Below are 14,072 nucleotides of genomic sequence, written 5' to 3'. Positions count from 1 at the left end.
TGCACAACCCGATACAAAATCTGACTCCAGAGCACAGCGCATGGAAATGAGATAAGCTTCTTGAGGCCTCCACCTGCCTGTCTCTATAGGAGACTGAGCATTTACTCACGTGCCCAGTATGTCACTACTACAACCACCATTTGAGAAATTCACCACACCAAGGAAAAGACCTTGCCCGCATGATTCAGTTACCTCCTACTGGGTCCCTCCCATGACACGTGGGAATTATGGGAGCTACATTTCAAGATGAGACATGGGTGGGGACACAGCCAAGCCATATCAGGACTTAAAAGTAAGACCTCAATCTATAAAAATTCTAGAAGAAAACCTAAGAAAAACTCTTCTGGACATTGGCCTGGGCAAATAATTTATGACTAAGACCTCAAAAGCAAATGCAACAAAAACAAGAAAAGACAAATGGGACTTAATTAAACTGAAAAGCTTCTGCACAGCAAAATAAATACTCAACACTGTAAACAGACAACCTACAGAGTGGGAGAAAGAATTTGCAAACTATGCATCCCACAAAAGGCTAATATCAGAAATGTACAAGTAACTTAAACAATAAAAAAACTCCATTAAGAAGTGAGCAAAGGAAATTAACAGACACTTTCTAAAAGAAGACATACAAGCAGCCAACAGACATGAAAAAAATGCTCAACATCACTAACCATCAGAGAAATGCAAATTAAAACCACACTGAGATATCATCTCACACTAATCAGAATGGCTTTTATTAAAAAGTCAAAAAATAGCAGATGTTGGAGAGGATGCAGAGAAAAGGGAATGCTTTACACAATGTTGGTATGAATGTAAATTATTACAACCTCTACGAAAAACAGTGTAGAAACTTCCCAAATAAGTAATATTTGAACTATCCTTAAATCCAACAATCCCACTATTGGTTATCTGCCCAAAGGAAAAGAGCTTAATATATCAAAAAGATACCTGCACTTCTATGTTTTTCAGAGCACTGTCCACATTAGCCAAGATGTGAAATTGACCTAAGTGTCCATTGACAGATTATTGGATAGAGAAACTGTGGTATATACATACCATAGAATACTACTCCGCCATACAAAATAATGAAATTACATCCTTTGTTGCAACATGGATGGAACCGAAGCCTATTATCTTAAGTGAAATAACTCAGAAACAAAAAGTTAAATACCACATGCTCTCGCTTATAAATAAGAGCTAAACGACGTATACATGTGGACATACAGAGTGGAATAATAGACTTGGGAGACTACAAAAGGCGGGACAGTGGGAGAGGGGTAAGGGATGAAAAAATACCTAATGAGTACAATGTACATTATTTGGGTGATGGTTACACTAAAACTCAGACTTCACTGCTCGCAATATATCCATGTAACAAAAATGCATGCGTGCTCCTAAAATCTATAAAAATTAAATAAATAAATAAATAAGTGGTACAATAAAACCTCATTGGGTACCCAGTAGAATTGCCTAAAAATAATGATTAGAAACTTAATGCATATATTAAATGTCTTAGTTTGCTCTCAGGCATTTACTTTATTATTTAATATGTTAAATGTAACAATTTTTATTATAACATTTTATAAAAATATGAATTTTGCATATTATTTTCTACGTAGAAAGTACACATCAGAACTGCCACAATGATACTGCAATGAATCTCACGTACTGGGCATCTTTTGTCTTAGCCTGGTTTCCCCAGAAATTGGAGATTGAGGCAAAGGCTTATGAGCTACTACTGTTTTAGGAAATGTAATCCCAGAGAGCTGACCTGAGAGACAAAGGGAGAGAAAGAGTATTTAAAAAGTAGAGTATACTACAAAAATGTGCTATTGAATTAGTGGTGATTGCCTGATCTCTAAGAAGCATTCTCTAAGAAAACATATAAACTGTATTTCAAAACAGTCTATCCAGAGGGAAAAAGTGATAAAAAATGTTTTCCCCAGTGTCTCCCATGTGTCAAAGATTGTCTCTGGGGAAACTGGAAAATTTTCATACTTCCACATTGCATATATATGGTAGTAAACTAAATCCCACAGCATTTTGTGCCTTTGGCATCCAAAGATAGCCGTAGGGCAGGAGGCAAGAGGTTCAGGGCACATGCATGAGGCATGGTACTGTTAGGCTGCATTTGTTGGAGCCCATGCAGAGCAGGTGACCACAATAGTAGCTGTAACAAGGCATAGTGAAGCTACAAATGATGTAAAGTGATGCATGCGAGAAGTGGTTTTCCAATTGTTGCAGGCATCAGAAGCACCTGGGGGGCTTGTTGCAACACAGATTGCTGGGTGCCATCCCCACAATTTCTGATTCAGTAGGTCTGAGATAGGGCCCAAAAATGCATTTTTAGCAAGTTTGTAGGTGATGCAATGCTACTGACCCCAGACTACATTTTGATAAATCCTGCATAAGTCTACAGTCCAGTACTCCTTCCACACATATTCCCCCACATCCAGGTGGGCTAGTGTGTATTAGTGAACTCCTAAAATTTCTTCTAGGTATGATCTATTTCCTCCAGACCACAGATTACACTTTTCTGAATGGCTTATGCTGAAAGTGGACTCTGCTTATCCACCTAGAGACAATAAAAATGGTTGGGGAGCATCTTGAGGAGAAAAGATGCTATCTTCTGAGCTATGTTCCTCAAATGGGGCTTTTGTAAAGACTGCTGGGATGAGGCTGCTCATGTCTGGCAAGGGGAAAGAGTGGCTTTTGCCAGACCAGAGGGTTCAACAGAAGCTGGAAGACCAATATCCTTATCGCTAGAATCCTCAACCAAAAACTCCTTTTCTGTGGTTATCCATTTTTCCCATTCTTCTAGACAGAGTGATATATTTTACGAGAAGATGGGAATGAGGTAAATCTAAAACTTATTTTAAGAAGTTTACTTTCAGTTTACTAAGCTCCATGTAAAAACTATTGTTTATCTGTAATTTAGACTTTTGAAAGCAGTAGAAAAATATTTGATGAAGGTGTCAATTGAACAATAAGTATATCTAGAGTTATGAATACTTGGTATAAAATGTAGGCTCCAACTATACAGATCTATTGTAAAAAGCAGACTATAGATAGAGACATGATTCTTTGCTTTTTGTAAAGATTATCTGTTATGAGGTTTTTAGTTCCCTCGAAACAATTACTATAGGTGTCAAAATCACAAAATCACCAAAGTTACATCATATTATCCATTAGGAACTTGCCTGCAAAATAAGAAATGAGATTTATAAGTACAGAGAAACATCAGCAATCACATCCCATTACAGCTAATTTACAAGTGATTGCTCTTGCTGACCTTGTAGATATAGAGGAGAAGCCCTTTCTGTGGCCCCAAGGGAGCTAATGTTTAATTGAGTTAATAATTTAATAATAGAAACTATTAGAGGATCTGAGATGTAAAAAGTAAAGGATAAAAACATTCTACAGAAAGCAGAACATTTGGACAATTTCCACTCAATCATTCAATATTTATTGAACACCTGTCTTACACTAAGATCCTTGCTAACGACAGCAAAGTGCAAAGACGATAAAAAATACTTTTGCCCTCTAGAAAATCATATACTACTATGAGAGATAATGGGTAAAAAAATTGCAAAAATCTGTGAAAAGGAAATTTTTTTGAATTTGGGACAAATGTGATGGAATTCGTTGAAGAAATGCTGTTTCTGAAGTATGTAAGCCAGAATTTAATTTCTAGAATAAATAAACCCTATAATGCACATGGTACATTTAATATTTAAATCAAATAATAACATATATTTACTTTAATGCATTTCACATACACACAACTTCAAGAAAAACAGATAATTCATAGTGTACTCTGTCTACTTTTCCTGAACCTGACCTTGGTCCAGCCTGTCTCATGTTTGACATAGGGCTGATGTTACTGTCAAAATGTGGTGAAAGGAAGAAAGAAAGAGAGAGAGACAGAGAGAGAGAGAGAGGGAGGGAGGGAGGAAGGAGAAGAAAGAAAGAAAGAAAGAAAGAAAGAAAGAAAGAAAGAGAAAGAAAGAAAGAAAAAGAGAAAGAAAGAAAGAAAGAAAGGAGGGAGGGAAGGAGGAAGGAGAAGAAAGAAAGCAAAGAAAGAAAGAAAGAAAATAAGGAAGGAAGGAAGGAAGAAAGAGAAAGAAAAGAAAAAGAAAGAAGGGAAGAAATGACTTTTATAACTGGAAGTGTGTTTCTATGTCGCTAAATGTAACTCTCGTTCATAACACTTGTTATGAATTGGCTGTTTGGATAAATGTGGAGTAGTGGGAATTCTGAACTGACCTGTGTGCAGACCATTTCTTAGCCACTCCTTCCATAAAATAAAAATCACACCACAGATACTGTGTAAGAAAACATGTGAATAGAATGCAAAATATAAAGACAATAAACTCCCCAAAGGGACTTTCTTGTAGGGAATAATTTATTTTATTTAATCAAAATATGCATTAGGTTAATATTAAATTTCAAAAATTAACTCTCTAAATATTAAGTCCTATTAGTTTTTAAAAGAATAAAATTTATTACAAGGAAGTACCAAATATTCCAAATAAGATTTGAAAGTACCAAATATTATTGGATATGGGTCATACCTTGTGAATATAAAAGAAAGAAAGCATAAAACATTTTTGCTCTTCTTTTTCTTCTCCTCTCCTTCTCTCCCTTTATTGTCTTTCTCCTCCTTTCCCTTCTCTCCTTACCTGTCTTCCTTCTACTCCTGCTTTATTAAATATAAAGAACCTTGGCTTCATCAACGAACAGCCAAATGATTTGGGAGCTCAGAATATGGTGATGTTTTGCTAAGTGAAGCGATGTGAACTTTGCCTTCAAGAAGGAGGAGTTCATCACTCCTTCTTGTCCAGATAAGAAAGTAAAAAAAAAAAAAAAAAAAAAAAAAAATGCCCAGATAAGAAGTAAAATGGATTTGGGATAAAGGCTGACATGGTCTGCCATGCATGGTAGTTACAGATTATTTTATTAATATTCTTTTTTAACCTTTTGACAGAATTAAAAAGGTGATGCATCAGTCATAACCATCAAGACTGAATAAGATGCCTTCCCTCTTTACACCTATCTGAGATGCCAACTAAGGGAGACTTAGAGCATGAGTTCTGAACTGAAAAGCCAAGAGAGAATGTTCCTCTTTATTTCAAATGCCTTATTTTGACATCTTCCCATGATTTAGCCTGAACCCATAATAGGGAGACTATCTCTTCCTCTTTTTTCTACTTGACTGTATATCTCTCCTTATCCTTTCCCCAAAGTCAATGTAAGACTCAGCAACAGCACTGTCCCAATTAATATTCTAGTTGTTAAATGAATACTAAAACTACTTCAACAGGTATATCTGGGACTCCATTTAGTTTATGATATTGTTTCCACAGGAAAATGCATTCCAGATTAACAAAATAGCAACTTTACAATAGTTTGGGTTAGAAAAAGTCATTGGTATGTTGAGCACTTACTTGTGTAAGGAGTTAAAGGACATGGAATTCAACAGTGGCACTGTTAGCCCTCTGATTTGGGTTTTCCATGTCCTCTGTGACGGCAAGGACAGTTGGGAGGCAAACACTGCTTCAATCTTTTTTTTTTTAATTTTACAGTAGACAATGCCAAAAGGTAGATGGCTATTTTAAATGTCATCTTTTGTTGATTGGTTTATAGTGTAATCGTTTTATAAAGGTCTACCAAAAAGTAAGGAAATGGTATTTGATTTCACGCTGAGAGGAAACTGTGCAGCACAAATTATGAAAGAAAGTAAAAATGTTTATAGTCCATGAGAAACATAAAACTATACTAAAAGAACAATATGAATGCATTGCATCCACTCTCTTTGATCTTTTGAATTAGAAGTTTCAAGTACCTTTAATACTTGGTAAGAAAGTGGGATTGTAATTGTTTTACTAATAAAAATGTATTTGAGATTTCACCAAGCTTCATCTATTTTTCTCAGAATTTTATGATCTAAATCTAACCTCTCAGCTGGCTTCCTTCAACTTTTTGCATTTCCACTTTACCTCCAGTCTTCTCATAGTCACCCAGTGACATCTCTCTTACTGATGACAAAGCTATTATTTTTTTCTTAGTAGTATGTCCCTAAACTTTCTTTTGTTAAAGATTATATCTTATTACCACTTCAAAATGACTTATTTTCCCATTTTTCTAAATATATCAAAATGAATAAAACAGTAATTTTGAAAAGTAGTTCTGTGGAAATTTCCATACTTTTCCTTTCTTTAAACAATGTATCTTTCATCTGGAGGTGAAAGTCACTTTTGATAACTAATACTATTGTTCAAGATATATGTTTATTGAAGAGAAAATAAACACTTCTAATTCTTTATTTTTATGTTGTGAAGCTAAGTAAAGTGAAACAAAGCAACCAGAAATTTAAAAAATATATATTCTGATTGAAAACTAGCACATTGAGTTTTCCACTATGAAAATAATACGGTTTTAGGTTTATTGGAACTTTGAGAAAGCAAACTTTGAATGAAGCAACTCTAGCACTTGGAAAGCTTTTCAAAGGCACAGAAAACCTCTGCCAATAGAGTGAAGAAAGCACAAGAAACAGCAGGAGAAATTATTTCTTAAGTGTAAATTAATAAAAATATTGTTTCTTATTTCAAAAAGTACTTAACTCAGAATAATCGTTGCCCTATGTAAAAATCACACACAAAATATGTGTTAGTTTTTTTCCATGAAACTTAAATGTACATAGAAAAATGTTCCATCCCAACATCCCCGTGCCGATCCTTGAGTATATTGAAAGATTAGGCAGATACTCTGCCAATGGTCTGAGATTTAAGCTCAGTCTTAAGTTTAGCCAGGAGAAGATAAGAAGCAAATTCTTCTGTGAATCACACTGAAGGACTGTCTTACCAATCCCAGACGGAGGGAATTTAATAACTTACTTGCCATGCCAAAGCTTCAGGTATATCAGACCCTTTTCCACACCACCCCACATCATCCTCTCAGACTCACCTTGTTCTGTAAATAGCTTCTGGTAAGACTGGACTTAGGTATATTGACAGTGCCTTGGTTCAAACAGTCTCTGCATGAGTTTTTCTTTCTTCCTGGGCTTTTCTAAGTCCTGATATGGAGCAGTGTTGAGAGACTGTATGGCATGCATACACACACAGCTCAAGAGTATAAGATATTACTTGCATTTCAAGATAGGTGTGTCATGTGCTTTTTGCTTAGAGATCTTTTGTGGAAAATTTGAGAAACATTTTATTTACTCCCCTAAAGGACTTCAAGAGATCTATCTCCAACTGATGCATCCACTGAGCAATCCGATAATGTAGTTTGGGTGGACTCTTTTTCCTTTGCTGTCCACTCTTGCTGGAAACTCACTTAGCTCTCTAAATTGAGGTTCCATTGCTTTCTAAATAAACCACCTATGTACAAATCCTTTACAGTCTCTGCTTTTGATGAAAAACCAAGCTAAATTAGAGAGGAATCTAAATCCTATTTAGAATACTCATAGTGGTTTTGAGGTAGAACTATCAATTTTCTAAATCTGCACAGCCAACAAGACTCATACAGAGATGTATGTGTAGGCACAAGACAGTGGAATTGAATTAAGATTTTATTCAATATTACTCAAAGCTTACTACATGATGCTACTTACAGTCAGTGAAAGTTGCTCCTACTTTTACTATTCTACTAGTTTGTTTTTATTTTTTTAACTACCTTGATAAATCTCAACCTACAAAGTTCTCTCTCATTTTCTTTTATCAAGGTGTCCTGTCTTAGGCTGTACTCTCTGGTATCTTATCCAAACATTTTCCAAGACTTGCTATCTATTGTAGGCTATTCTTTATTATGAGATTTGGAAGTGACCTTAAAATCTAATTACCTCGTGAGTCTGATAAAAAACATTGAGGCTCATAATTGGCAAAATATCTGTCCCAAGGTACCACAAATCGTTCACAGCCTAGACAAATCACTTTGCCTATTGACTTTATTTCAAATGGATACACAGAACTAAAATTATTTCCATTAAAGAAGTAAACACGATATTAACAAATAAAATATTTCCTCCATGATGTATGTTCATAGTATTTTGTTTTATTCTTTTCACAAAAATATAGTAATTCATGTGCTTTATTATGTTAATCACACTTGCTTAAAACATTGTATTTCATCCTCCAATTAGCTACATATACTCACAAAAAAACCACTAAAATATTTACAGTAATGCAATGGAGTCAAATTTTATATTTCATAATACATTTATTATTAAAGTAAAATAAGCTTTATAAGCAGCATATTGAGGGATCCAAGATGATATATATGCACAGCATTGCAATACAAGTGGAAAAAGATAATGTCATATATCCAATCTTTTGTGTTTGGTTGTTTGTTTATCAATACCTTTTGGATTTCAAGTACAAAGGACAGAGTTTATCATACTGTCTATTGCACTTAATCAACTTTGTTTAATGAAAGTTTCCTTTCTTGCTTTATTCATTTATCTTTAATTCATTCATTTATGTTAATATATATCACTTTCCTTTGCTTCTTCCTCAGGCAACAATTATAATGTATTTAATTTTATTTGAAATTCTTTTAGAAAATGCAAATTGTATAATGTGAAGATATTTTAATTTACTTAAATGCTATTATATATGTCATTATAGTTCTCATTTTTTTCACTAAGGTTTATTCTTAAAGACCAATCAGAGTTTTACTTCTGTTAAGAATCCAGAAAGCCATAAGAGAACGTTGATCCCACCCAACAATAAGTAAAACAAAGAAAATATACAGAACCAGAGTTATTGGGGTTTCATTTGTTTGCCTGCTTGTTTGCTTGCTTTTCAATTCTTCAATGAGTTGAAATCCCAAGGCAATGAGGTACTTTGATTTTCAAAGTGTAACAAATTCCTCTAAGGAAAGACAGGACAGGCCACGCTAAGTATCTTGCCCCGGCAAAGCACATCAAACAGAGATGACACTCATTGAAGTGAATAAGAAGAAAAAATCTTCAGTGTTAACAAACACATAAACAGAGAGTGTGGGCTAGTGGCACAGGTTAATATTCTTGGGAGTTCTAAATACAAAAGTAGTCTTCACCCACTTGCCAGAACTTTCTCATGAGCCTCCACCAGGTGTCCATGAGAAAGAGTAGAATCAAAAAAGGCCACCTGAGAAAGTCTCCCTTAATGATGAAACATTGAGGTAAGTTGCTTCTTTCTATAGAACAGGTATGAAACCCACAATTAACTCTTCTCTCATATAAAGCAAAAACTGTCTTCCTCCAGGTAAGGGGCAAGAAAACTTTCAGCTTAGATTCCAGAAATAGGTAAGCTGACTCTGGAGAAAAAATAAAGGAAAACCTGTCTGTCTTTTAGAGTAAATCTTTCTTCTTTTTATCCCAAGCAAAGGTTGGCTGCTGCTGGAGAAAGGATAAATTCTCTGTTGTTTCAAGGCTCCTACACAAATACAAAGCGCGATGCTGTTGCTACTGGAAGAGAAGTGAAAAAAAACTGCTTATGTTCAAGACCACCTGGACAAGACTTCTTAACTATGAAAGGCAGTTTTGTTGCTGTGTAGGAAAAGACAAAAATACTGAGAATAGGCTCTCTCCACATTCTCTGAGACTCAGAGTTAAAGAGACTAATAGAAGTCTCAATCCCCGAGACAACCTGATAGAAGCAGAAGCATACCAATTCCCAGGAGTTAATGCTGTTTACTTTAGTCTCCGTTGTTCTTTTGCATACAATACCTAAATCTAATTTTAAAAATCACAAGAGACATGAATAAGCATGAAAAAAAGAACTCATCATCAAGGGAGAAAGCAGTCAACAGAACCAGACTCAGAAATGAAACATATTTTGAAACTATTTGACTAGGACTTTTAAATAATTATAATGAATATGTTCATTAATCTATGGAAAATAAGAACGGTGTGGAACAGATGAAGAATTTTAGCAGTAAGATAGAAACTATAAAGGAAATCCTGTGAAATGACAGATTAAGAAAACATGATATGAAAGTTGAAAAATTTTTTCACATGCTTATTTGCAGACTAAAGGCATTACAGAAAGTTAACTGTGAATTAGAATATATTTTGATTAAAGTTTTCCAAAATATAATGTGTGTGTAACTGTGTGTGTGTAGAGAGAGAGAGAATGAAATATAGTGAAAAAATAAAATATCCAAGACCATTAATAAATGATCTAATATATGTGTAATTGGACGCCCAGCCTTAGATGAGAGAAACAAAGAGAATAGGGCTGTAGAAGCATTTGAAAAGATAATGGGTGAGAACTTTACGAAATTAATGAAAGACTAAATAAACTACAGCTCTAATAAATTCAGAGAACTCGAAACTGGATAAATATAAAGAATAACATACATAGGCATATCATAGTCAACCTGCTGAAAACCAAAGATGAGTAAAAAGTAGTAAAGGTTGGACAAGCTAGAAACACACCTTATATAAGGGAACAGAGGTAACAATTATATCAGATATATCATTTAAAAGTATGCAGTCCAAAGAAAATGAGGTAATATATAGTACTGAAAGAAAAACAGCCAAACCAAAAGTTTAAAATAAACATTAAAAGCAGTTATTTAAGCAGAAATAATATAACAGATACATTTATAAATACACAAAAAAAGAGGTATAGCAATGTAAGAAAATGTATAAACTATATTTTTCCTTATTTTAAATCTCTTTAAAAGTCAAATGTGTAAACCAAAATAACAACATATATTTTGGGAGTTATAATATATGTAGAAGTAAAATGAATGACATAAATAGCACAAAGCAAGATGGGGGGAAAATGAATGTATATTCTATGTTGTTATACTACATGTAATGTAGTATAATATTATTTGAAGGTAGACCATTATAAGCTAAATACACATACACACAGAGAGAAAGAGAGAGAGAGACATAGGTATATAAAACCCTATAACAATCACTAAAACAAAAGGAGAAAAAATAAGTGTAACCAATAAATAATTAGTGGAGATAACATGAAACAATAAAAATAATCCAAGAAGACATGGAAAGAGGAAAATTAGAACAAAGAACAGATATTACAAATTGAAAAAAAAGTAAAAAGAAATATTTGAACCCAAACATATCAATGATTATTTTAAATGTAATTGTTTTAAACACTCCAATAAAAAGACAAAGATTATCAGTTTGGATAACAAAGCCATACTGAATTGCATGCTGTTTACAAAATATATATGTAAAGACACATATAGAAAAAGCAAAAGGATGGGAAAAGATACACCATTAAAATAATAATGAAAAGGAAACTGTAGTGGCCATGTAAATATGATCCAAAGTATAATTCAAAACAAGAAATTTTACCAGGGAGTAAAATCAACTAATTGATATTTAAAGAACTTTCAACTTAACAACAGCAGAATGGACATTAGTTTCAAGTGGACATGAAACATTTAACAAGAGAAATTATAATTTGAGCCACAGAGCAAAATCAATAAATTTAAAAGAGTTGAAATTATAAAACATGTATTTTCTGACCATAATAGAACTAAACTATATATTAACATATATATCTTATATATATCACATATATTTATATATCAAATATATATATATAAAAACAGCAATATGTATGGGAAATTCTCAAGTAATTACAAAGTAAACACATTTCTATGTAGCCCATGTTTTAAAGAAAGCAAAGGCAAATTAAATTACACAACATTTTGAACTAAATAAAAATGCTAATGATATATCAAAGTTTGTGAAATACAGCTAAAACAATGTTTTGAAAGAAATTTATAGCATTAAATACTTATAAGAAAAGTCTCAAATAGTGATATTAGCTTCTAATATAATAAACTGGATAAAGAAGAAAATCTCAAAGCAAGTAGAAGAAAGTAAATAATAAATGTAAAGGCAAAAGTTAATTTAAAAAGAGAGAAAACTAAAGAAAAAGCAAATAAATGCAGATTTTTTTTAAATTTTGATGAAATTGTTATAACTTTAGGTAGATTGACCAATATCAGGAAGGATATATATAATATATGTAAATATTACATATATTTATTTATATATCCATTTTGCCATAAATATATCTAATTCACTGTTTGAATCACTGAAAGATTTATCATGGTATACATTTACTTATGTTTACTCACATTTTCTGGTGCTGTCACCCAAATTGTCTGTAACACCTGACCACCATAAACATTGTTGTAATTAACACATTCTCACATGGGTATGAGAATTGCTATGAAATATGTGTCTGAACATATTAGGACAGCATTGCAGAAAACTAATTTGCCCTCTCAACTGCACTTGCATGTCTTTAGTGCATATACGTATCTGAGAGGTTATAGAGACTTACGTGAGAAAATTAGGCTCTGCCCTAGGTGTCATCTCATGATCTTAGCTTCATAAGCTACCCGATACATTTTCAGAAATTATTTTTTTCATCTCTGATTGTTCTCGTCTGATTGGTCCATAGTCATTGCTTTTTAAATCATCTTCCTACCTTATATTCTCTGAAACTGGTCTTCCTCAGTAACGCTGTTTCACAGCAGTCTTTCAATTCCCTCTTTTAATTAATTAATTCATGTCTTCTCTTCTATCCCATTCAGGCTTGCTGGCTCTCTGAGAGACTGTCTCTTCTCAGATTTCAGTTTGATTTTAACATTTTTCTTATGTGCTCTGACCCACTCTTATTTCCAAACATAAAAAACAAAACCCAGGTAGATGCCCAGATTTTCAATAATCTGTTATCTTGAAAAACTCATACACTCAACTTCACCCTAACCTCATCTTCATCACAGCTGGAAAGATGAATTGAGTGATTAACATCTGTAGTTTGAATACATTTGAATGTGTGATTAGAAGTTGTGGGCTCAAGCTGTTTTTTTTTTTTTTTTATGAGCAGAACTAAAGACATTGCCTTTAAAAAAATTTGCAGTTACATAAACAATTAGATTATCTATAATACACCACTACATTTGTGACCATTCTTTAGTGCCTTTTTCAATAAAGTATTAAATTAATCATGGATTTTTCTCTCAGCTGCTTGATTTATATCCTGAATTTAAATTTCCTGCATTGCATTTCACAGGCATAAAATAATATTTTCTGCTTTTCTGTAGTTAAACACAAAGGAATAATTGTGATATTTATATTTACTATAAAATCTAAGTGATGTTTAAGAATTTTCATAAACAGGACACTATAGAACAGTTATTTTTATGATTTATGGAAAAGACAATTCCAGTGTATTAGATTACACCTTAATGAAGTGAATAATCCCTAACTTGCAAAAAGCACAGGAAAAGCAATCTAAGGAGTAGTTACTATGTGATGTACAAGAGACTAAGGAGTACGCAAACTGTAGAAAGTCCTAACTGATTGTTCAAAATGAGCATCCTAGGCACAGTTGTGTCTTATACACCTCCTCCCCACATCCTCAGAACCTTCCTGCACTCCAGCCATTGCTGTGGCAAGTAGTTGGAGTAATATGATAGCACTGTACCATAAAGGTAGTATCACTTGCCTCCACCTCAACCCTGGAGTCTCTCTGTTGCCACCTCATGGGATGTATTAAGAAACCTGTTCAGCCATCCTGATGCATACACAAACTTGAAAGTACTTACCAAAATGATAAAGCAAAACCATGAAGAGAGTGGAATAGTCCTTTGAAAGATAATATGTACAATATAACACTTAAAGACCCACAGGACTGTAAGGTTAATTGGATAATTTATTGTATTTCTTTGGCTTAAAACAATGCACAGATAGTTGAATTTTTTCTCAGACACTATTAAATCCCTAATGCCATTCAGCTCACTACATTTTATATATTTCCCAGGCAGCTGTCAAAAGGAAAAGAAAAAAAGTAAATCTAATTAGAAGAATGAAGTCCTATTAGTACTTTTCCAACAAGAACTTGCCTTCTCCTCTTAATGTGGACACATGAGGAAAAGCATTTACTTAATGTTTTTTAATTCACTGTACTATCAATGAAGCAAAAACCTCTTTTTATAGCACCAGAGATATCTTATTAACAGAAGTTATAATCTAACTCTTATTAACATTCCCACAACATTATATCCAGCAGATAAAACTTTCAGGCTCT

The 14,072-nt window shown here is 33.4% G+C and overlaps 1 long non-coding RNA gene across 1 annotated transcript in view, besides 1 other annotated feature; it reads right to left on the bottom strand.

Moving 5' to 3' along the window:
- The window catches only part of LINC00992 (long intergenic non-protein coding RNA 992), a 164,233-nt gene that overhangs the window by 124,884 nt on the left and 25,277 nt on the right, over positions 1-14,072 (bottom strand). The window lies entirely within an intron of this gene.
- Positions 84-253: an enhancer, noted in NCBI's record as "active region_22954". NCBI's record gives its function as "activates an Ori minimal core promoter by ATAC-STARR-seq in GM12878 lymphoblastoid cells {active_cell/tissue: GM12878}" and the evidence as "EXISTENCE:reporter gene assay evidence [ECO:0000049][PMID:35858748]".

The sequence above is a fragment of the Homo sapiens genome, chromosome 5 (genome assembly GCF_000001405.40).
Source record: "Homo sapiens chromosome 5, GRCh38.p14 Primary Assembly".
NCBI classification, from domain to species: domain Eukaryota; kingdom Metazoa; phylum Chordata; class Mammalia; order Primates; family Hominidae; genus Homo; species Homo sapiens.
Note: the sequence above shows the minus strand (reverse complement) of the source record. Positions and strands in the feature narration are given on the sequence as shown.